The sequence below is a fragment of the Homo sapiens genome, chromosome 4 (assembly GCF_000001405.40).
Source record: "Homo sapiens chromosome 4, GRCh38.p14 Primary Assembly".
NCBI lineage: Eukaryota > Metazoa > Chordata > Mammalia > Primates > Hominidae > Homo > Homo sapiens.
The window spans coordinates 120,841,925-120,867,776 of record NC_000004.12 but is presented as its reverse complement, the minus strand read 5'-3'; the positions used below and the strand labels follow the sequence as shown (position 1 = coordinate 120,867,776).

The following is a 25,852-nucleotide window of genomic DNA, read 5'->3' as shown; positions in this document are numbered from 1 at the left end:
TTGTAATTTTAGATGACTTATTTTAAAGGGTAGTTTGTTGCAAAATTAAAAACACTCCCTTGGGGAAAGCCCCAGATTTGTAAGCATACTTTAAAAAACTCAAACTAAAGTTACATAATACCTTTTGAGCATCAGTTTTCCCAACTGCTTCCCTTTATTGTGTTCTACATCTGTATTTTTAATGGTTTATTATGTCTTTATGAGGTGAAAAGAGCAATAGAAAAAATATTTATGGTCAATAGTTTCCTTATGTGTTAAATTCTTGATACAAGTTTGATGTCTCTATATACACTGGTGAAAGTGTACTCAGACCATTCAGTAATAAATGAAAAAAATATATAATTTAAGCCTTAAGATTTGGAGAAAACTGATGAAATGGGAAATGTAGAAACATATGTTTTGGTTTTTTAAAATTTTATTTTATAAGAGGAACTGATTTTCTCTATTTGTAATATGAGTTAGTATTAAAATTTATGAAGATCATTTAATATTCCCTATACAACATTTTTTTTTCTTATCTCACAGTTGTGTGGGTGAGAAGTCCAGGTAGGTTTTCTGCTTAAGGGTCTTAAAAGGCCAGATCAAGGTAGTGGCAGGGCTGGGTTCTTATTAGGAGGCTTTGAGGATCAATTTGCTTCCAAGCTCATTCAGGTTGCTGGCTGAATTTGGTTCCTTGAGATTGTAGGACTTAGGTCCTTATTTTATTGCTGGCTTTTGGCTAGAGACTGTTTTCAGTCCCTAGGTCTGCGAATGGCCCCTCTCAGGCCACCCTGTGAGCCCCTCAATCTCAGCAATATGTCAAATCCTTTACACATTTTAATATCTTTAACTTCTATACTTACCAGCCAGAGAAAATTCTCTGCTTTTAAATAGCTCATGTGATTAGGTTAGGCTCCCCAAAGATTATCCCTATATAACATGATCATAGGAGTGATATCATATTCACAGGTTTCTTTCATACTCAAATGGGAAGGCATTATACAAAGGTGTGAGTTATGGGAAGTCAGTCTTAGAATTCTGCTTACCAGTTGGCAAACTAGTGACCAAGGTAGTGAGTGTATTAAGGTAGTATAACATGGTGGGCTCTGGAATCACATCATCTTGGTTCAATCCCTAGCTCCAGTAACAGCTGTGAAACCTTTGGAAAGTTATTCATTTCTGTTTCTGCTTCAGTTCGCTCATCTGTTAAACGTGCTTAATATGTAGCACTTACCTCATAGAGTTGTTTTGAGGAGTAAATTATATAATATATATAAAGGTGTTTAACAAAGTGCCTGGCACATAATAAACACTCAATAACTATTAGCAGTTATACTGTTAGTATTTGTTTTTTAAAGCAGATTTCTTTTCTTTCATGTTTCACTTTTCATAGAATAAATGAGTATAAAATGCAAAGCACATGTTTGTAAAAGTAACATGATGTTGACCCAAATAGGAATCTTTCATCCTTATGGAATCTGACTCATGTGAGAATCTCTCAGATGAAAGTGTGAAGCACTGTTCCCCTGCTCCAGGCAGTGGATGTGCATTCTTAGATGGCTAGGGCCAGGTGTGTGTGCAATGAAGTGTGCAGTGAAGTGGGAGGAGGTACAGTGATCTGAGCTGAGACAGACAAGTCAGCATGTGAAGGGCCTCTTTTGTCATGCAAAGGAGTTTGGAATTCTGGCAAACAGCATTGGTATGAGGAGGTGGAAGAATTGCAAAGAGTACTCTGGCAATAGTGTGAAAGATGAATTCGAAGATAGATTTTGAGTTGATATAGAAAAAGAGTCAATTACAAAAATGCTATTGTTATTCAAATGGTGGATCATTGATTGTCATAACATGCCCCAAATCTAAGAGTTTTTCTTGACATCTTAACAAGAAAAGTTGAGGAAGCTCTGATGGGGGTGGGGGCTGGGTCAGGCTGGAGAAGTCCTGGTGGATACTCTTGGTCAGGAAGAGGCAGAGAATTAGAAGCAAGACCAGGTTTGAGTGAGATTCAATTTCTAGAGTAGATGAGAACCCCGGAGATCAGTGTATGAGGACAGTGTAAGTGATGCCCAGGAACTATAATTCACCATTCAGGTTACCCATCTCAGAGGAGTGGAACTGTGGACATGTTGAGGACCAGGGAGTGCCAGTTGGCAGAGATCTGGGCTAGCAGTCATCTGACCTCGAGCAAATCCAACCATGCATCGCTATAACCCTGTCACCAAAATGTCGGGATTGAAGAAAGAGTTTGATGAGTAGAGTGACTCCGTGGGGTGTAGAGCAGCTGGTGGTAACCCAGTCACTTAAAGGCTTGGTTGGGAAGGAGATATCAGATTATCCTACAGGAGAACAAATCACAAATGGAGTTTTAAGATTTTGTGGTACTAGAGTTGGAGCAGGATTGATATCAAGGCTGACTCAGCAATGGCAAGGACTGAATAATCTCAGTGTCTGTCCCTACTCTTCTTAAACAGGCCATATGTTTTTCTCAGAGTGAGGAGATTTGAGAGTGATTATTAAATGTCCTGAGTGGTAGAGTCCTTGAACCCAGACAGACCATTAAGCCCCATATCTCTGGAAAAGACAACATTCCTGAAGAATTTCTCCCCACTTGGAGTGTCCCAAATTCCTTTCTTGAAAGGTTCCCGTGCAGCCTCATTTTCAGTTCCTTTGGTTCAGGCACTTGATGGTGTAAGAAAATCACATCAAGGGAAGAAGCCCTGGTTTTCTTTGTAGAAAATGTCTTCTGCTGCAATATTTGTGTTCTAGGTTTGGATGGCATTTCTTGCCAGATTTTTTGTTGCCAGAGCAGTTATTGATGCGAGACACAGCTGTGTCTGTAGCAGGGAGATATTCCTATGCCAGTGATCCTACCTCCTGGCAGCATGAGCCTTTTGGCAGAATTCTAGAAAATGACCTATAGTAAGAGAGAAGTGTGTACAACATGGATGTACGGGCTCTTCTGAGTTGGTGCTTCTGTTCCCATTTAATTGTTAGGACATAAGAGCTTTAGTCAGATTCTGAGTGAGGAAACAAAATCTTTTAGGAACAAGTACAGATCAATTTCTTATTTTTATGAATAAAATGTTTACTTTTAGAGAATAATTTTTCTGAACACTCCTTAACTTAAAGGATATTCTGTAAATCACCCTTTCTGATACTGATCAATGACACTCAGAGATATCAATATCTTTCCACTCTATGATGACACTGCTAGGAGATGTAGAGTTGGGAATCCTCAGCCAACCTATCTGATGGCTGGATGTGTGGGAAGAGGATTTAGAAAGGATTTGCTGTGTTCCTCTTTGGTTGCATGTAACATCAATATTTCTTAATTTTGTGTTTTTATTGTTTTCTTGTTTACATTAAGTTTGCCTGTCCTGATTTCACCTGCCTTGGATTAAAAACATCTAGAATATTGGTCTGTCTGATTTTTAATCTTTGATACTGTGCTTTTTAGATATCAGATATCAACTTTATGTTCAAGGCCTGTAGATCGTACTTCCCATCCTTATGCTTTTCTCCTTAGCTCCTAAGATGTAGATTAATAAATTAATACAATTATTGTCATAGTATATTTAGTCCTTTCACCTTTCACAGAATTTTCCCTCCATACACAATTCATCATGCACAGTAGGGTTGTTGGTCACCCATCATCTATTCCCCTTCATCTTTCGCAGTTGAATCGAGATTTGGCAGAGTTTCCACCCTTCCTCCATGCAGCAGTGTATTATTACTGAGAAGCTAACGCCTTACAGGGGTGGCCCCTGATTAGTCTTAGCCATTGAAATTTCTGTTAGTTGGAGGATAGAATATCCTAATTCATACAGTCACCATTTATTTCCTGTTATTGCTTTGATTTTGCTGCTCCAGCCACAAAATTTGAGTCCTATTGTCCTTGACTAACTGCATCTTCCCAACCAGATTTACTTCTGTCGTTCATTATGTCTCCTCCACACAAAATGACTAAGTTACTTTACCATTCTTTCATTGTTATAATTTTCTCTACAGTGGATTCACCTCTTTGCAAAACTTACGTTCTGAAGCCAATTTATAAGGCAATAATTTCTTATAATTACTCCTGAATATTCTTCCTTATTTGATCGCTAGATGGAGTTGGTTTGTTTTTTGGCCACAAAAGGGAATGGTCTTTATTATTTCAATTTATTTTCTTTCTTTGATTTTTCTCATTTTTTTAAATGCTTTGGTTGAATTGGTATGGTTTAATTTCTGTAAGTTAAGTATTTGTATGATAAAACTTTGTTAATCTTGAAATGACCCTCTGCCTCTCCTATTTGCAAATTTGTATCCCATTTTCAGCACATGGAACTAAGTTCACCTTGTGTGTTGGAGGTTCCCAACACTGCCCCAACACTTGATTTTTTAGAAGAACTCGCAGGACTCAGCCCATTGTTGTACTCATGGCTAAGGTTTATTACAGTACGTAGTAGGTGTGTACAGCCCTATCATAAGGGAAAAGGCATAGGCAGAGTCTGGAGGAACCTGTGTGCAGTCTTCCTTATGCTGTCTCCCTCCCGTGAAGGATCACACAGAGCAAATATATATATACATATATATGTGTGTGTGTGTGTGTGTGTGTGTGTGTGTGTGTATATATATATATATATTTTTTTTTTTTTTTTTTTTAGACAGAGTCTTGCTCTGTCACCCAGGCTGGAGTGTAATAGCCCAATCTTGGCTCACTGCAGCCTGCAACTCCTGGGTTGCAGCAATTCTCATGCCTCAGCCTCCCAAGTAGCCAGTTTATAGGCATGTGCTACCATGCCCAGCTAATTTTTGTATTTTTAGTAGAGACAGGGTTTTGCCATGTTGTACAGGCTGGTCTCGAACTCCTGGGCTCAAGCGAGTCACCCTCCTTGGCCTCTCAAAGTGCGGAGATTACAGGCGTGAGCTACTGCACTTGGCCAGAGCATACTCTTTGCCCGCAAATAAAAATGCAGCCATACATGTGTGACGTTTCTGTACAAGGAAGCCCATTAAACATTCAATGCCCAAGATTTTTATTAGAAACTCATAGATGCCTTCTCCCTAGGATATACCAAAATTCCAGACTTCTGGAAGGAAGACAGGTGTTCAACATAACCCATATTGTTTACACAAGTAGTCTAGGCACAGTAAAACACCTTGATATGTTAACTATTGACAGGGAACACTCTGAGAGCCAAGTTCTCCCATGCCCACCAAAGGCCAAACTTACAGGCAGGACTTTTTGGCAGTCTCAGGCCTGCTAGGTTTATTCTAGAGACGTACCTCTCTACTGGAAGCTTTTCATAATGCACTCTTCTCTGCTCTCTTACTTTTCATCTTGGTCCATCCTCAGGACTTGGCATTGTATGTTACTTTACACCCTTCTGTACCAATTCATTTTGGAAATGAATGCAGTTCATTTGTATGTCCTTTATAGTGATCAGTACATTGCTTTGTGAGCTTTTTAAACATTGTGTTTTCTGCTTCCTCATACTGAAGGTATAAATTGAGTAAAGGAACTGTGTTCAAAAATTTCATCTGTGGCTTTTCATAGCACATTTGAAAATAACCAATAAAGAAATGTATAGTAAATGTTGTTCAGTAAATGTTTACTGACAAAGGATGTTACTTTTTAGAATTTTTCAGCACAGAACTATGATTGCTGGATGATTATGAGAATTACCTTAGTAACTGGGAAGTATTTGGTTGCCTTAGGTGCATTTTTATGCTAAGATCATTAATTGGTTTCTCTGTCAAGTTATGTACATTTTGAGGAGAATACTGTTAGATTTAAATGGGTTGGGTGGATTCAATTTTAATAGCTTTAGAAAACTATGCAGTTAGGAGAGGAATTTGGATTAGGAGATCAAGATCAAAGGAAAAGTAGATTAAAAAAATTTTTTTCTCCCTGTGGATTACATGATGTTCTTTTGTTATTTAGTGTTTCTATAACCTTTGCACAGAAGTTTTCAGATACAAAGCATCTTCTCCTTTTTTTTTGTTTTTTCTTTTTTTTTTTGAGACGGAGTCTTGCTCTTCACCTAGGCTGGAGTGCAGTGGCACGATCTTGGCTCGCTGCAGCTTTCACCTCCCTGGTTCAAGTGATTCTCCTGCCTCAGCCTCCTGAGTAGCTGGGACTACAGGCGTGCTCCACCAAGCCTGGCCAATTTTTGTATTTTTAGTAGAGACAGGGTTTCACCATGTTGGCCAGGCTGGTCTCAAATTCCTGACCTCAAGTGATATGCCCGCCTCGGCCTCCCAAAGTGCTGAGATTACAGGTGTGAGCCACCACACCCAGCCCAAAGCATCTTTTTCTAAAAACACCATCAAGACTGTGATCTCTGGATCTGGGATATTGCCATTGCTTTATGTATGACCACCAACTCTTTAAAATAATTTCATGTTTTATGATTAGAATTTTGCTACCAAAAATTGCTTATTAATATTTAATACCTTTTGTAAACTCTTTTAATATGCTGTAGGGAAAATTCTCCAAAAGCTGACTACAGGCTGGTCATGATAGCTCATGCCTATAATCCCAGCACTTTGGAAGGCTGAGGCCGGCAAATCACTTGAGGTCAGGAGTTTGAGACCATTCTGGGCAAAATGGCAAAACCCCATCTTTACCAAAAACATAAAAATTAGCCATGTGAAGTGGTACACATCTGTAATCCCAGCTACTCGGGAGGCTGAGGCTGGAGAATTGCTTGAATCCAGGAGACACAGGTTGCACTGAGCCAAGATTGCACCTCTGCACTCCAGCCTGGGCCACAGAGCGAGATTCCATGTTAACAACAACAACAAAGAGATAACTGATGACTATAAGGCTAGAAGTCTTTGCAGGTCTGAAATCTATATTAAAAATTGGGCAACGCTAAGGCTTCATAAAACTTTAACAGGATTTAAAGTCTTATGAATCGTTGCTGAGGGATCTGGTGGATGCTGCCAAACTGTCAGAAGACATGCTGGCCTTATTATTATGGTTTTCTAATACTTTGGTGAAATAACACTTTTTGCTTATGGAAGTCACTTGCTTAACAATATTGACAAAATAAAAAGTAAACAAATAAGCCACTAAGTAGCTAAGAGAAATGCTGTAACATTCGTGCATAAAAACCAGCATGTTTTACAGAAAACCCCTAAAACAATGGGTACAATAAGCTAATGTCAGTTAAACTCAACTTTATTCTTTTTTTTTTTTCCAAGAAGGGAGAAAGTGGTCACTGTTGTATTCTTCATGTGATAAAAAAGCCTATCTGTCCAGAAATGCCATTGAAATCTGAGTAGCTGAACAGGTTCGTAAAACTATAGAAAAGGACAGTTTCTGTGCTGTTTAGGCGCTTTCATAAATTTGCTGTGGAAAAGATGATGTGGTTTTCACTATGTGTTTCATTTTTTGTCAGGTATTTATTTTTTTAAAAAAAATTAGCCCAATTTAAAAAGTACTTTGAAAGGCAAAGACATGGAGTGCTTTAAAATATTTTACATTAAGTGTCTTATAAAATATTTTTGAACATTTAAAGGAAATAAAGGCAATGAGAGTTAAAGAAAAGACACACTATATGAGCTTTTAGTTAATAAAATATTTATTGAGACTGTATCAAATAACAGGCTTCCTTCTCTGAGTGGTCAGTTGTCCAGGTATAGGATTTGCTTAGCTACAGAAACCTGACCAAGTTCTTCAGTTATACTTGTCTTTGTGTCTTTGACAGTATCATGAGACCTTTCTTAATATGGATTGTTTATAAAGGTAATCTCAGCTAAATGTCAGGTGTGGCAACCAAAAATTGCTTTTGTGATTTTTAAGCTGCTTCAATAGAAAGAGTGCCTAGGTCAGAGGTCATAATCGTCCTTTCCAGGCTGGATTCTGTCCCATGTTAGGAGGGTTTTGACAAGTTTGTGTGCACCCATGAGGATAACCCGGACAGTAATGGAACTGAAAATCATGTCCAAAAAGGAAGGAGTTATTTGTTTTGTGGAAGAGAAACGTAGAGAGGGAGGGATTCTTGCCTTCAGAAATTTGAAGGGCTATAGATGGTAGAGAAATTAAAACTCTTTGAGAGGGCAGAGCTTCAGTTACTGGCAGTGGGTCACAGAGCAAGGTGTTTCAGTTTGGCATAAGAAAGTGTGTCAATACAGCTAAAATGACATCTGGGTTTGCTACTACCTTATAATATTCAGTTAGAGGCTATTTGAATATGTATTTGGATTTGAATAATAGTGTTAAGATATCCTTAACACTATCTTTGTTCCTTGAAAGTACTATGTTTGTTCCTTGAAAAAGCTGACATGGCTGGGTGTGAACACTCATGCCTGTAATCCCAGCACTTTGGGAGGTCAAGGCAGGAGGATTGTTTGAGCCCAAGAATTCGAGACCAGCCTGGGCAATATAGGGAAACCCTGTCTTTATAAAAAATAAAATAAAATTATTAGCCGGGCAAGGTGACATGCACCTGTAGTCCCAGTCCCAGCTATCTGGGAGGCTAACATGGGAGAATCATTTTTTGAGCCCAGGAAGTTGAGGCTGCAGTGAGCCATGATGGTGCTGTGCCACTGCCCTCTAGCCTGGGCAACAGAGATGCTGTTTCTAAAAAAAAAAAAAAAAAGTTGACATGGTATGTATGTTCCCAGCTGTGCCATTGAAAGCAGAATGTTTATATTTAAGGTGCCTGTAGCCGTTGTGGGCCCAGTTTCCTCATTTTACTAATACCTTATGATTGCAAAATACCCACTGGTATAAAGAACTGTCATGCATTTTATTTCATTTGATGCTCTCACAGGTTCTGTGAATTTGCAGGGCAGAAACTGTTGTCCCCATTTTAGAGGTCAAGTGATCACGGCTTAGTTCAGTGAGAGGAAACGACTCACCCAAAGTGATGTAGTCAGAGCCTTGGATGACATCTAGGTTTTTGATTCCTAGTTTAGCATCTTTACCACTCCAGAATGATTTTCTTCCACTTGAAATTTAAATATTTGTCACAAAAAGTGACTTTATTTTTCTCATCAGTACTTTTATATTAACTTTGTATGTATTATATGATGGATGTTATTTAGTAAAGAAACAGTTATCTGTAAATGCCTGTATTTCCTCTCCATCTGCTTTCCCAGGGCAGAGGAATCCATGGGTTAGGATTACCAGATAGCAATTAGCAGGTGGGAGGCAGAGGGACGGAAGGTAGAAGGGAGTTATAAGTAGATAAGCTACAATGGTGTGTGTGTGTGTGCGTGCGTGCGCGCGCACGCACGCGTTCATAAGCACACACAAGCAAATAGTAATTTTAGAGAGAATCCTTTGAACAATCAGTGGGGGAATAAAACCCATGCCCTTTTCTTGGAAACTATAAATCACTACAGTTTCCTAGCTATGATCATTGCTGATTTCTGAAAGTGTGTCTCCCTTTGGTTTAAATCTGACAAACAATGTGCCGTCAGAATTGACTACTTGAGCACACTTGCTTTTTTGTGCTCCTAAAGATATCCTGAAGTCTGGATAATTAAACACTGAAGGCAAGGCATATGGCCTTACTTTAGTTAAAAACAATTGCAGAAAGAATGCCTGTAATTTAAATACAAAAACATGGTGGCATTTTATACTCTAAAGACATCCATACTCTAAATTTTAGTGCTTAAAACTGCTTTCTTTGAAGAGCCTTGTTGAAAGACAAAAAGGGAAATATGTTTTATTTAATAAATAATACTGTAACATAACGTATTGTAATTTTTCATTAAGGATATTATTGCTGTCTTTTTTGGAACTGACTGTATTTGCTGCCATTACATTTTACCATACATTAAATCAAATTTTATCTATCAGTTACATTTTGCCACTTCTGGGGGGCAAATCTGGCTGACTGGCTTTGCTCTTGGAGCCTTGATGGAATGTATATAGTTAGTGAAAAATTCCTTAGGCATTTGAAATGATTGAAGGAAAATAATAGAGTAAGCAACATTGTAGACTCGTCTTTGAAAATTAACCATCCAAATAATAATTGAGCTTCTCTGTCTATAGTTGACCCAATTTAACAAATAAAATATTTAAGTTTAGGGAAAGAAGATTTGTATCTCTCTCCCCTGCTCCCTATTTCCACTTTCTTCTTTCATTTACACGTTAGGGTTTTCTGTAATTGAGCTGAGATTTTTTGTGGTTTCCTCTGTCTTTTTCTGGGTGGAAACACAAAATCAACTATGACATATTCAATGTTGTGAACTTTTAGGCTGAAAAAAGGTACAGATACATGGTAGCAATGACCAGCACATTATTTCTCTCAGATACTTGAAAAGTGACGTCAGTAGCATTCAACAGAGGCTAGACCCTGCCAAGTTCCCATAAGGGAATAATTTCATTAAATGTGAAGCAGCAAAGTCATACAGACATGAACAATTATATTGAAGCATAAAAGTTTTCATTTTCACAAGAAGGTATCTTTCCCTTTCCTACTTTATTTTATTTTACTTTGAGAGATAGAGTCTTGCTCTGTTTCCCAGGCTGGAGTGCAGTGGCGTGATCTCGGTTCACAGCAACTTCTGCCTCCCGGGTTCAAGTGATTCTCCTGCCTCAGCTTCCCAAATAGCTGGGACTATAGGCATGTGCCACCACACCAGCTAATTTTCGTATTTTTTAATAGAGATGGGGTTTTACTATATATTGGCCAGGCTGGTCTCAAACTCCTACCCTCAGGTGATCTGCCCACCTTGTCCTCCTGAAGTGCTGGGATTACAGGTGTGAGCCACCTTCCTGGCATGTTTCCTACTTTAGCTAACCTTTTTGTGTAACTACTGTAGGAAGCCTGTGCAAATCAAACAGGTTTTCGAACTGAGGTGGTTTTTACTACACGATGAGACTGTTGACTTCATCATTGGCCCCAGGTATGCAGAAGATGATCCTAAGTCAGATAGTAACCAAATACACTTCATTTCCAAGAAAATTCAAATAAAAGAAGATGGTATTTGGAAGACTAAGTCTTGACAGTAACATAATACACTTTGGCAGCAAAAATTAGGGAGATGCTGAAACATGGTACTAGGAGGAATTTTCAGTCTTTTTTATTCCTTAGATTTAAAAAATGTTCAATTTATTACCTCAGGGTTCAGTATCAAATTAAAATAGATAAATGGAGACTTTAATAATAGCCAGCTGTCTGGAGTTGTTTTGATTTGGTGTCTCTGGGAAGAGGAATGATGGATTAGATTACTTTTGGATGTCTCTTTCAGATGATATGTCAGCAAGGCGAACTCTGTGTTTAGGGTAGTGAGATAAAAGTCGTGTGCACAGGTAATCTACCAGCTTTGGTGGAGTGTTGAAGACTAGACTGGTGCAATGAGGAAATGGCCAGCCACTTGAAAGCTGGAGAAAACAGGCAGGCCCCAGAGAGCAAAGACTCTCTAAGAACTTAAAAGTTGTTTGGGTAAGCATATTTGGAATAAAATGGGCAGTGATTCTGTTAATGAACAAAGAAAGTTATTTCAAATATGAATATGTAGGTAATGTAGTATATTGCTGGTTGTGATAGTGTTGTTCTGAGAATAAAGATAAATCAGCACATAAATTTGTGTGTATTAAAAGTGATACATTTCAGAATAGTTTTAGTATAAAATCAAATTATGTATTTCCCTTAAGACGGAATATTGTGTGAGAAAGTGATAGACAGGAAGTGCATATGTCTAATGGACTGAAAAGGAAAATAAGTTGCTAATACTGAATAATTGAACATAGTTGGGGCTAAAGGGCCTGGGAAAAAGCTGAAATACACAAAGAACAAACAATGCCCCTGGTAAAAACTCAAATATTCTTACTATAATAAGTCACAGAGAAATATTTCTTCTGTTTCGTATCTTTGAAGAAAGAATTCCAGATGTTAAACACATCTGATATATATTGTGCTTACTACTGAGTGACAAATGTATGATTAAGAAGGGCCATAAACTAATTTCTCTAAGTAGTGCTGTCCTCTCAAACTGAGATATGCCTGGGCAAACCCATTTGTGTTTCACTACACAAAGTTAGTTAGCTTGTGTGGATTTCAGTAACAGTTATAGATTTTCAGTTTCAATTCTACTGAGAAAATTTTTCTTTCAAGTATTAGGTGGCATTGCCACCTGCTGTGCTTAATTTGGCTTTTTGTCAATATAAACAGTTTTGGTGCTATTGCTGTGAGGGTACCTGAAAGGAAGGACTTTATATCCAAATATTTAAAATTATTTGTTTACTCTGCCAAAAAAATGTGAACTGACATGCCCATTGAGGCAGAGGTGTAGAGTGTACATTCTCTTTACCATATCAGTGTTGCTGGACATTTTTGGAATTTCCCAGTGGGCAGTGAGTGTTCTGAGTCGAAGTGTAAGTAGGGAGGCAGAACAATTTTCAGGCACCTCCCAAAGCAGATCTTTTCAGTGAGAGTTTGTTATTTAGTGAGAAGTGTTACAAATTCCCATACCTTCACATATAAGCATCTTAAGTATGTAAATATGAGGTATTTATAGTCCTAAATTGCTCTTTTAGAAATTACAATATGAAAAATTAAATTCGTGCTTCCCAGTGATGGTCTGGCATTCATTATTGAGGATCCTTGGGCACTTAAGAAAACAGGAATTGTTTGAGAAACATGGCAGTATGTCACATATAAGGAACAGGCAGACTGTATTCTTTCCTGGGTATTATATATGAGAATCTTTAAATATCAGTTTTTGCAGTGCCTGTAACAGATGTGTCTTTAAAATGTTTTTTGGGTAAAAATAACTGTACCTGCCCAAAGTAACTGTCTAGATGGATTCCTGGTCTGTTGGTCCCCGCATGATCTGGTGTCTGCCAATCTGTTAGATCTCAATGCCCACCACTTTCTCGGTTGCTCCTTCTGTTCCAGCCTCATAACCTTCTTATTGTTCTTTGAATGCACCTAATTCATTTCCAAACCGAAGGCCTTTCTCCTTGCCTTTCACTTGCTGTACCCTCTGCTTGGAAACAGTCTTCCCCTAGCTCTCTACTGGCCTGTTCCCTCCCTTTAGAACTCTTAAGGTCCTCTCATCAAAGGGCTTTTCCTGATGGCCTCATGGAATAGAGCCCTTCTCTTAGTACTCTATTTTCTCCTGCTCTGTTTTAGTTGTCATCATAGTACTCATCTTTACACGAAATTATATTCTACATTTGTTTACTTTTAAGTTCCATGTGCTCTGGGGCTTTGTCTTGTTCACTGAAAGATTCTTGATGCCTTCAGCCATTAAGGACCCAATAATTGTTTGTTGAATGAACAAATGATTGTTCAGATGTAGCATGAAAATACATACCTTATTGGACTGATTGTCTTTTATTTTATAAAATAAAATTTTGGAAATCTAGAATTCTTATCAAGTCTGCCAAGGTGAATTTGTAACCTGTATGTTCGTGTTACTTGGTGTTGGAGATATGGAGTGCTAATCACTCACTCCTTTCCTTTTTTTTCTGGATTCTAATGGAATAGAAACATGAAATCAGAGTTGAATGGTGATTGGTATATAAGTTTTATAAACTGGGCAAGTCCCTAGCAACTGATAATGCAGGGGTTTTGGAGAAGCTAGATTTCAAGTAACTTGGGTTCAAGAATGTCCAATGGGTTACCTGCTTTTGGAGTTACTCCCCTCCTCTCTCCAGTTGAATGTAGAGTAGGCCTGAGCAATGAGAGCGTATGGTCTGAGACAAAAATCAGAGAGCCCACCATCCTCAGCAATCCATGAGTGGGCCATGAAAGGATAAAATGGGATTGTTTCATTCATTCACAAGTAAAGAGCATAACATTTTGTTTCATTGGATGTCAGATTCCCGCTGGCTAGATGAGCAGGTTCTCCTTTTATGGAGATGATTCTGTAAGCAGGTCCAGAGAGGAATTGAAATGATTGCTCCAGTTCTACCCCTCTCAACTGGGAAATAAGCAGTATGACCCTTCTCTTTGGAGAAAAGGGGAAGGTTGCAATAATGATTATTCTCTGAACAATTGTGATTGCAATACATATACTGGAATATACTTACAAACCGAAATAATTTTGACCAGAAAACAACTATCAACGTAGGATGTTTCTGAGAGTTCATTGCAATTGTGAGTCATCTAGACATCTGCCAAATGAAATAGTAGGCTGTATTTCTACATGTGTTTAAGAGAAGAATGCATGTTAGTCCAACTTCTATTTATCACCCATCAATAAAAAAGGTATATACTTATGAAAAAACGTCATGTCCTAACCTTGATGTGTTTAAAGGCTAATATTCTGACTTCCATTGTAAACTCAGGAGCCTTTAATGTTTCAGGTTCGTGGGAGTAAGGGAGAAGTTTTGTACATTTTGGATGCTACCAACCCACGGCACTCCAACTGGCTTCGCTTCGTTCATGAGGCACCATCTCAGGAGCAGAAGAACTTGGCTGCCATTCAAGTGAGCTTATTTGCTTCTCATTTGTACTATGCACTGTGAGGGGGGATGAATTAATATATGACTGTACTCCCTGTTTTAAATTTGTTTCCCAATGACCTCCTTCAAATAACAGTAACTCATAAAAGCAGAGAAATCTCATCTAGTCAGCATATGTAGGAAAGGGCAAGCCTAGCTGTAAACTAACACCAGGGTACTTACTTTATGAGAATTCCTGAGGGAATGAATTACACAGTCTGATATTGTCCTTGGCAGATCTCGCTTTCAGGTACTTTTATTTCATTCAGTGAATATTCATTGATATTTTAATTTGTTTGATAGTTTATTTTGTTCATAGTACTATACCCTCTGTTAGTGTTTGGGAAAGGCTTTATGGAGAAGGTTTACTTGGGGATATTCCCTGTGACCAGGCTTTGAGCTTGTCGGAGGTGGTGTGTTAGTCAGGGTTTCCCAGAGAAACAGGTGCAGTGGCTCACGTCTGTGATCTCAGTATTTTGAGAGGCTAAGGTGGTAGGATCACTTGAGCCCGAGAGGTCAAGGCTGCAGTGAGCCATGAAGATGCTGTTCCACTTCAACCTGGGCAACAGAGCAAGACTATGGCTCCAAAAAAAAAAAAAGAAAGGATATATCCTTATATATCCTTTTTTTAATATAAAAAATATATAAAAATATATATATGGTTGTGTGTATATATGTATTTGTATATGTGTGTATATATGTGTGTATACATGTATATGTTTATGTATGTGTGTATATATACGTATATATAAAATAGGGGATTACCTCACAATGATTATAGGAGCTGGTAAGTTTAAAATCTACATTGCTGATGTACCAGTTTAAGTCTAATGGCCAGAAGCTGCTATAGAACCAGGAAGAGCTGATATCCCACTTGGAAACCCATCAGGCAAGAAGAGCTAGCGTTCCAGGTTGCAGGCTGTTAGGAGAATTCTCTCTTACTCTGGGGTAGGTCAGCCTTTTGTTTGATTCAGGACTCAGCATGATTGGATGAGGCCCACCCACATTATGGAGGGCAATATACTTTATTCAAGTCTCCTGATTTAAATGTTAATCTTTTCCAAAAACACCCTTACAGAAACACCCAGAATAATGTTTGACCAACTATCTGGGACCCTGTAGCCTAGTCAAGTTAACATGTAAAGTTAACCATCACTGGTGGGAACCGTGTTTTATTGAATTCCATTTCCCTGTATCCTAGCATACTGCTGGACAAAACATTAGGTTTTGATACAAACTATGAGTTGAACTTAGGTGATCCCTCAGTGGAAAATAAGGCAAGAAGAGAAAACGATATAGTTTTTAGAGGAGCCCTATAGTTAGGGCTTCTCTAAAACACATTGATCAGATGACCAAAAGAATAAGGAAACATTAAATTCTGGCAGATAATTGACTGATTACATGTGAAAGCTCATCTTCCTGGATTCTAAACTTCAGAAGAGGAAGTAAAGCTATGGTTGGCAAAAGTAAGAGGGGAAGGGAAAAGAATAAGACATGAACAGTATTTGAGAATCTACCATGTACACTGTTCAAGAAGCTTCATATACATGTGGTCATTTATTCGTAGAAATTCTGATAGTTTGACAATTTGTTGACATTACACTGATTTCATTCAATTCTCAATATAAAATCAACAGTAGCAAGAAGGAAAAGGCACAGAATTAAGTTTTAAAGTAACTAGCAAACAGTCATCTAGACTACTTAATTTCCTAATGTCATCTAAACAATTTTTTTCAGTACAAATGAGTATTAGATAATCAATGTGACTACTGTCCCTTTTTGCATGGATACATGAGAGATGACTCTTACTAAACAGCTGAGGTGACATGGAAAATAGGATCTCTGGCAGCCGGGGATATTCAAGCCACTTTTCCAATTATTCATGATGGCCATTGATCCAACCACAAGTTTAAACTGATGTTTTTTTTTTTTTTCTTTTTCAACATGTAGACATTATTTTTTTCCAAGTGTTTATATATTTTTTCATGGCTTTCTGAGGCAAACTCATCCATGAGAACATCATTTATGTCAATATTTTAATTTACGGACTCAGTTTGTTTCTTTGTAAATGTTACTATTATTAAAATTGCCTATAGAGCCATGAATTTACCTTAAGCCAACCCATTGTTTTGGTAGGTTCTCCATCATTGTGATTGTGGAGAATATTATTTATGCTAGATGGTTTTTCTTTTCAGGTGTAAATAATGATTTTAAGCCTTCTCCAAATTCCTTCAGTTTCAGAAATGTCTTCCTATTGCCTATTATTTCTGTAGAATCAGTAGGTCTCTTTCTTTGCCTAAACTTACAAAGTGTTATGTGAGTTTCATCTTATATTTACTTAGGTAATACTTGTTTAGGAGTTCCCCTTAACTGAACATCTTACTTGTAATGATCCCTTTAGTTAATGGAAAACAGTGTCAATAAGTATTTATACCTTGATCTTTCACCATTTACTCTGCTACTCTACTATGCCCTGTATGTTATCATATTGTAGGCACTTCGCTCATTTTCAGTAATCACATTGTCTAAGACTTACAGTTTTCATGTTCATTTAGTACATTCCACGCAGTACTTTTCTTCCTCTATATCAACTGTGTTTTTTCCTTGAAAGAAAATATAAATCACAAAAGATGACAGGTACTCCAAGAAATTATTAATGACTTAACAAGAGGAGTGAGGGGGGATTAGAACAGGACTTATGTAACTGGTGGGCTCTCTGAAATTTCACTCTTGAATTATAATCTAAGTATGTTCAGAAGCCACTCTGAGAGGCTTTTGGTGCAGAGCAATGACAGTGGCTTTCATTTCTTTTAACACTGTTTTGCACTTTCTTAATAGGGATGCAGTGCACTGCTACCATATTTTTTGTCATAGATTACAATAGGGATCTTTGTTAGCTCCCTTGAGGTAACATCTTTCTTATTTTGAACAGTAGCTGGAGTAGAGGATTGCTGAGGGTTCAAAATCACATCTGAGCTAAAGGCAGAGAGCATAATAGTTGGGTCACGTGGCTGAAAGAGATTTCAGCCTTCTAATTGGTTGGAATGATCTCCTAAAGATTGCATTCCAGAAACATTGAGTTGGTAAGGTCATGATGTTTCCTGCATAACATTATGAATCACTTGCATTCCAAATTGCATCTGAAGTTTGGGGTATTCAGGAAATTTTTTATTTGAGCTGTATATCCCAGGAGTGGAGTAAATGAGAAACATTTGTGACTATGTGGCTTGCTCGGTGGAAAACGTCAATACTTGGTCCAACTTTTTTGGACAAGGGATTATGAAGTTGAGGTCTGTTTTGGCAGATAATTGGAACTCCTTCTTGGAGACTTGATTATATTTCTAGTTTTGCAATTTATTTGATTTTGAAAAATTTGCTTTGCAAATGATGACTTAAGTATCTGAATTATCAAAGACGGATCTAGTAAGCAAACAGTTCTTCCCACATGCACACTTTTCAGAATAATCATTTAACTGTATGTTCAGACTTCTGAAAAGTTTCCAACTATGGCTAGAAAATTCTAAATGTGAAAGTTGTGGCTTAAAATGAACTAAAATATCCTTAAGCTCCATAGGAAGTGGGTGATTCTTATTAAATGCTAATTTTGTTGCACTAAAGGAAAAAAATGTATATGTAGCTTAAAAATATTTTTGACCTAGTTTGTGTTTTGCAGGCTCTTAAAAATTTCTGTTCTTTTGATAGAAGATGAATATTTTATGCCACTTACAGTTGAAACTATTAATTATTTGAACATTTCAGAGATGGAGTGCTACATCTCATATTCTTAAGCCCATATTTTCAGGCATGTCTTTTCTGTGACTAGTTGCCATACTTATCGATTTACATAAAAAGGTAAAAACATTTGGGTAAAAACATTTGGGTCCTGGTGCACTTCATGAGGGGTGTCAGGATGTGAGGATGGTCTAAATGAGGTGAGAAGGCACTGGGTATTGAGCCAAGATATTCTCACAGCTCTGCCCCAATTCTGCTGTCAGTTTAGAATGCTCATTACCAGCAGTTATTTTGTCACAGATTATTGAACCTCCTTTCTCTGCCTTGCCTGAGGATGGATAGTCATAAACAATTTATCCTGGGGTCTTCTCTGGCGACACGTGAAATTTAAATATGACAGAGCTGGAAAATCACATGTGGATCTCTAAAGAGAGAAGCAACTTTGTTTTCCAAGCACAGATAAGACATTCTCCATTGTCACTAAGCTACCAAGATCCATAGGAGTAACAAATAATGTTGATACAGAATTCAAATAGCAGCAGTACCAACTAAGCAACCAACAAAAATAAATACCAAAAGGATTTATTACTTATGTGCAAAATGATGGCTTTTCCAGTTCTCTATCTTTCCTATTTCTGTTTTTTCTTACCAGATTTATACAAGTGGCATTTTTAGAATTTTTTTAAGAATCTGTCACAAAATGATAAAGTACAGCTGTCTAGTGATTTTCTTCAATAATAACATAAAAATAACAGTTAAATAACTTACAGATCTATCTTTTAATAGGTTATCTTCCAGTAAGGTCTGCATTTGTATTTTATTAGGGTAACATTTTAAACTAAAGTAAAAATGCAATTGGTCCCGTGAGTTTTTAAATACCTGCTCTACTTTGGTCTTATGTGGGGAATTTTATTACTTATCAATATTATTTTCATTAATTTTGTAGCTTATTGACAGGGCAAATTTGCATTTATAGGAATATTCTTAAGTTATTTATAGTGGTAAAGTTGAAATCTGTGTTAATCCTTAAAATGATGATGATGGCAGCTAACACTTACTGAATGCTTACTGCATGCCAGTTAGCAGTTATTCACTTATTAATGTATTTATTAACTATTTACTGTGACTGTATGAGAAAGATATTATTATATAATTTTCATCTTCCTTTGTCAGATAAGGATACTGACTCTCAAGAGCATCTAAGTAACTTGCTTGAGACCACACAGCAAGTGAGTGACTGGGTTTGATTTGAATCCAGATTATATGTCTTCATTGTCCACTCTTTTAACCCCTGTGTTGTAATGCCTTAAAGTTGAGATTACTTTTTAAAAATGTAAATTCAGATCTTAAAAATCTTTCATGTTTCTGAACTTGGTATTAGATATTTTTGAAACTACTGACAATTTTCAAAGCAGGTTAATTTTAAAATATATATTTTAAGTTATTTATGTTATGTATCCCTTGATTTTTTTATGTTCCCAAACTGTCCTTAATCCATTATAAAGCATTGCACCTGCTTCTTCTTCATATACAGATCATGCCTAGGCAACATCTATTCTTGTTTCTTTTTCCTTTTGTCTCCTCTTGCCTCATTTTAGCTGCTAGCTAATGTGCTAAAAATGTGATAAAGGTAACATTTAGATCTCTTGAAATTATTATTATAATACACTGTAGTAAAATTTCAGAATCAGAGCCTGTCAGGTTGGGTGTAGAGGAAAGTTTTAATTAGGTGGGACTTTCTGTGCCTCTCGTCCTAGGAACCATAGAGGAAGTTACCTTTTCTACTTCTATTGAAGACCAATCCTGCTTCCCAGTATCCATGTCTCACCCAGCGGTAAAACAGAATCTTTTATAACCTTATCTTTGACTAATATGAAGGTTCTGTCAGTCACGTTTATTAGAGTATGACTTTTGAGTTATTTGCAGAATGACTTTCATCTAGCCTGTCTTATTGGTATGTATTTATGATTGTAGTAGTTATCCATCGTTATGTAACAAATTTACCCCAAATTTTAACAGCTTAAAATAACAAACATGCAGTATGATTTTATACAATTTGTAAGGGTCAGGAATTTAGGAGCAACTTAGCTGAGTGGTTCTGGGGTTCTGGTTCAAGGACTTTCATGAGGTTGCTGTCAAGTGGTCAGCCAGGGAAAACTTGATTGAAGTCTGTGAAGACTTGATTAGGCTGGAGATTCTGTGTCCAAGGTCTGTCACATGGCAGGAGGCTTCAGTTCTTCACCACTGAACTGGGGCTCTCTCTGGGGTTGCTCAGGACTTGACAGCCTGCTTCTCCCAGAGAGGGTGATGAGAAAGAGTGAGAGCAAAAATGAGTGAGAGAGAGAGAGAAAGAGAGAAAAAGGGGGAGCTGCAACCTTTTATAACCTAATCTTGGAAATAACGTTCCACAGCATCACTTCTGTTGAATACTATTAGTCACACAGGCCAACCTTGGCACAGTGTAGGAAGGGACTACATGATGGTCTGGATACCAGAAGTCGAGACATCCTAGAGGTTGAGACATCTGTCTTCAAGCTACAGCAGTGATCAGTGGGGAGAATATACTTTATGTAAGGATGGAATAAGGTTAGAGTAAATGGAAAAGGCAAACACTTGATACAGACTCAGAAGGAATGCAGAACCCAACCCAGTTTGGATAATATTAAGAAAGGCAGTTTCAAGCAGTAGAAAGAGCATGAACTTTGTTGTCTGAAGGACTTTAAGTAGATCCCGGGCTCTGACTTTTGCTGGCTGAGTAAGTTACTTAACTCATTCATTCAACCCATAGCTATGGAGCATCTGCTACGTACCAGGCCCAATGCTGAGCACTGGAGATACTATGACTAAAAAGATGATCTAGCTCTTGCCTTCATAGCAGTAAAAATAACCTTTAAAACTGCTCTTCTTTATGAGTTGATTGTAATAATGCTTACTTTATTGGATTTTTGTGAGGACTAAATTAAATGAGATAATATATGCAAAACACTTAGCCTCTACACACCTGGGGATGCTCTGGGTTTCATTCCAGTCCACTCCAAGAAAGTGAGTATCTCAGTAAAACACCATAACATCTTTGGTTTCACAGTGCATGTAAACGTTATATTTATACTATACTGTTGTCTATTAAGTGTGCAGTAGCATTATGTCTAAAAAATACACATATCTTTAAAGAATACTTTATTGCTAAAATGTGTTAATGATTATCTGAGCCTTCAATGAGTTAGAATCTTTTTGCTGGTGAAGTGTCTCACCCTGATGTTGATGGCTGCTGATTGATCAGGGTGGTGGTTGCTGAAGGCTAGGGTGGCTGTGGTAATTTCTTAAATAAGACAACAATGAAGTTTGCTGCATCAATTGACTTTTCCTTTCACAAAAGGTTTCTGTGTAGCATGCTTTGCTTTTTGATAGCATTTTATCCACAGTAGAACTTTAAAAATTGGAGTCAGTCTTCTCAAACCCTGCTGTTGCTTTATCAGATAAGTTTATGTCATATTTGAAATTCTTTGCTGTCATTTCAACAATGTTCACAGCATCTTCACCAGGAGTAGATTCTATCGAAGGAAACTACTTTCTTTGTTCATCTGTAAGGAGCAACTCCTCATCTATACAAGTTTTATCATGAGATTACATCAATTTAGTCACATCTTCAGGCCTCACTTCACATCTTCAGGTCTCACTTCTAAGTCTAGTTAGTTTTCTTGGTATTTCCATCACATCTGCAGTTACTTCTCCTGAAGTTTTGAACACCTCAAAGTCATCCATGAGGGTTGGAATTGACTTCTAAACTTCTGTTCATGTTGATATTTTGCTCTCATCTCATGAATCACACATGTTCTTAATGGCATTTAGAATGTCAATCCTTTCCAGAAGGTTTTCAATTTACTTTGCTCAGGTCTACCAGAGGAATCACTGTGACAGCAATAGCCTTATGAAGTGTGTTTCAGAAATAATATTTGAAAGTCGAAATTTATCCTTGATCCATGGGCTGCAGAATGGATGTTGTCTTAGCAGGAATTAAAACATTCATCTTCTTGAACACTCCATCAGAGCTCTTGGGTGACCAGGTGCCTTGTCAATGGCAGTGTTATTTTGAAAGGAATTTCTCAAATGAGCAGTAGTTTTCAGAAGTGGGCTTAAAATATTCAGTAGACTATGCAGTAAACAGATGACAGTGCCATCATCCAGGCTTGGTTATTCCATCGATAAAACATAGGCAGAGTAGATTTAGCACAATTATTAAGGGCCCTAGGATTTTCTGAATGGTAAATGAGCATTGGCTTCAATGTAAAGTCACCTGCAGCATTAGACTCTAACAAGATAGTCAGCCTGTCCTTTGAAGCTTTGAATCCAGGTGTCACTTCTCCTCTCTCGCCATGAAAATTCTAGATGGTATCTTCTTCCAATAGAACTATTTCTTGTACATTGAAAATCTGTTGTTTAGTGTAGCCAGTTTTCTTAATTATTAATATCTTAGATAGATCTTCTGGATAACTTGCTGCAGCTTCTCCATCAGCTCTTGCTGCTTCACCTTGTACTTTTGTGTTATAGAGATGGCTTCTTTCCTTAGACCTCATAATTCTGCTAGCATCCAGCCTTTCTTCTGCAGCTTCCTTGTCTCTCTCAGCCTTCACAGAATTGAATAGAATTAGGGAGTTGCTCTGGTTTGGGCTTTGGCTTAAGAGAATGTTGTGGCTGGTTTGATCTTCTATCCAGACCACTCAAACTTTCTCCATATCAGCAATAAGATTGTTTCACTTTCCTTATCATTTGTGTGTTCACTGGAGTAGCACTTTTAATTTCTTTCAAGAACTTTTCCTCTGCATTTATAACTTGGCTGTTTGGCCCAAGTGGCCTAGCTTTCAGCCTGTCTCAGCTTTTGACATGCCTTCCTCATAAGCTTAGTCATTTCTAGCTTTTGATTTAAAGTGAGAGACGTGTGACTGTTTCTTTCACTTGAATACTTACAGGCCATTGTAGGGTTATTAATTGACCTCATTTCAGTATTGTTGTGTCTCAGGGAATAGGGAGGTCTGAGGAGAGAGAGAGAGATGGGGGAAGGGCTACTGGTAGAGCAGTCAGAACACACTATCAGTTAAGCTTGCCACTATATACGTATGGTTTATGGTGGCCCCCTAAACAATTACAATAGTAACACCAAAGACCCTTGATCACAGGTTATCCTAACAGACACAATAATAATAAAAAGGTTAGAAATATTGCAAAAAGTAGCAGAGGCATGAAGTAAGCACATGGTGTTGGAGAAATGGCTCTAAGAAACTAGCTCGATGTAGAGTTGCCGTAGTCCTTCAATTTGTAAAATATGCAATGTCTATGAAGCACAATAAAGCAAAGTGCAAGTAAACAAAGTACGCCTGTAAGTGCTGATATAGTAAGCTTAAATTTTCATTATCACCACCCCTTGCCAGGTTTGTAGTTTTTGTCTTTATAATATCGTCTGTATATGAAACAAAGTAAAATCTGTTTTATTTCTTATAAAGCTTTCCCAGAGTATCTAGTATAATTCTGTGCATGTAGAAGACTTCTCAGTAATTATCCACTACTCAAGAGACAACCTGCTGTGTGGAGTGACTGAATCCTAGTGAGCCTGCCCCACAGTGGCCGCAGCGGCCTATGCACCCTGCTACTGAGCTCCTCTGTGTTTAGGTGCACGAAGCATCCTCTTAGGCCACTTGAGTAGTATTTACTGTGGATGACATTGTGCTTGCTGTGCTCTGTGGCCATTCTTCTCTTTGGAAAGATAAAGACTTTATAGACACAAGAAATGCCCTGTGGGGAAGAAGTCTTACTGTACTGTGTGCTGAGATCTTTATTAGATATAGTGGCTTGGTGACCCTAGGGATAAGATTAAAATCATTATGCCTATATGTTTGTGCCAAACCACTTTTCAGCTTTTTTAAAGAAGAAAGTTTTGTGCAGGCTGATTCTTTCTTTATTTTCTTTTCTTCTTCTTTTTTTTTTTTTTTTAAGGCCGGATCTCATTCTGTTGACCAGCGTGCAGTGGCCTGATCATGGCTCATTGCAGCCTCCATCTCCTGGGTTCAAGGGATCCTTCCAAGTAGCTGTGACCACAGGCATGTGCCAGCATGCCCATCTACTTTTTTAAATTTATTGTAGAGATGGGGTCTTGCATTGTTGCCCAGGCTGGCCTTGAACTCTTGTACTTAAGTGATCCTCCTGCCTTGGCCTCACAAAGTGCTGGGATTACAGGCATTAGCCACCATGCCTGGCCTATAGAGCACCTTTTATGTGCTCATTTATGGTAGTCTTGTGCAGGACATTGGCATTAAATTAAATTAATTAATTAATTAATCTTGAGACAGGGTCTCTCTCTGTTGCCCAGGCTGGAGTGATGCAGTGGCACAATCTCGGCTCACTGCGACCTCTGCCTCCTGGGTTCAAGCTATTCTCCTGCCTCAGCCTCCCGAGTAGCTGGGATTACAGGTGCACATCATCACGCCTGGCTGATTTTTGTATTTTTAGTAGACAGGATTTCACCAGCTACGTTGGCCAGGCTGGTCTCAAACTCCTGATCTCAAGTGATCCACCTGCCTCGGCATCCTAAAGTGCTGGGATTATAGGTGTGAGCCACCATGCCCAGCTGACTGATTGTTTCTTACAGAAATCCTCTGAATTTTGCCTGCTCTCAGATGTTTTTGCAGATTGGGTAATGCTGGATATTAGAAAGTTGTGTCCCTAGAAATTATAGCCTTATGGGGCTCATATATTCTTTCCATATTTAGTGACCTAACAAAGCCTACCTCTGTAACATTAACCAAAAGAAGGCTAGAGGGCTGAAGAATGTTTGTTCCCTCATTGATTTGGGGCTTTTGGTTGTAATAGGATTGGTGATAGTGAAAGTGTGAAGTAGAATTGAAAATAGAAATTCTGTGAAGCTGTCATGGGGGGAAAGTGGCAAATCTTACATTTCATATTTAGATTAAATTATAGTGTTTAATTTAAAAATTTTAAAATTTAAAACATTTTAAAAATAGTTAATTTGAAATATTCCCAAGACTCCTAGAATTGAAATCCAAAATACTTAATATCATGATGACACTTAGATAAACTATTTATTTATGTTGTCATCTCTATCACTAGGCTGAATTTCTCAAGAGTGGCATTTGTGTCAGTTATGTTTGTTTCCCAGTGTTCATTTCGTCTAGTGGGGGCTCAGTAAGTGCTTGTTGAACTGGCCTCCTTTGGCAGCTCTTCTGCCTCTTTCCTGATGTGGTACACCTAGTTGAATGTACCTTGTCACTTGGGAAAAGGCTTACATCTGTTTCCTTTAAAATAACAGAAAGCAAATGCTTCCACTTGAACTCTGGCCTGAAATATATGTGCATGCGAGTATTTGGTCTGGCAAAGTGTCACATTTTTACTCTGTGAGTGCTGAGTATGTACTTGTATGTGTGTACACATTTCAGTCTACTGCTAAGTAGTTTTATCTTAGCCAGACTGCCGTGCAGCCAACAGCACCTCATCGTTAATGTCAAAAGTCTTTTTACAGATATAACCACAGACAAGCAGAACCTTTAATTCAGATACTCTGTTGATTAACAACCAGAGAGTTCAGTCTGGACTCACTCAGAAAACTAGGATATAGAATAATGAAATAGCTAAGGCTACTGAGAAAAGAAGTATTTACTATGAAGTGGTAGTGTGCTTTCAAATCATACGTAACAAATGTAGTAATGAAAGATTAGTATTTGAGAATTAATCAATATT

At 37.8% G+C, this 25,852-nt stretch overlaps 1 protein-coding gene across 22 annotated transcripts in view; it reads left to right on the top strand.

Moving 5' to 3' along the window:
- The window catches only part of PRDM5 (PR/SET domain 5), a 238,436-nt gene that overhangs the window by 54,950 nt on the left and 157,634 nt on the right, over positions 1-25,852 (top strand). For all 22 annotated transcript variants that reach the window (XR_938678.2, XR_938680.3, XR_938679.2 and 19 more), the window contains exon 3: positions 14,237-14,359. Coding sequence is in view for 19 of the 22 variants with exons in the window: in XM_047449558.1 (XP_047305514.1) it covers positions 14,237-14,359 (123 nt within the window). In the remaining 3 variants the exon portion in view is untranslated. The remainder of the gene's footprint in view (positions 1-14,236; positions 14,360-25,852) is intronic.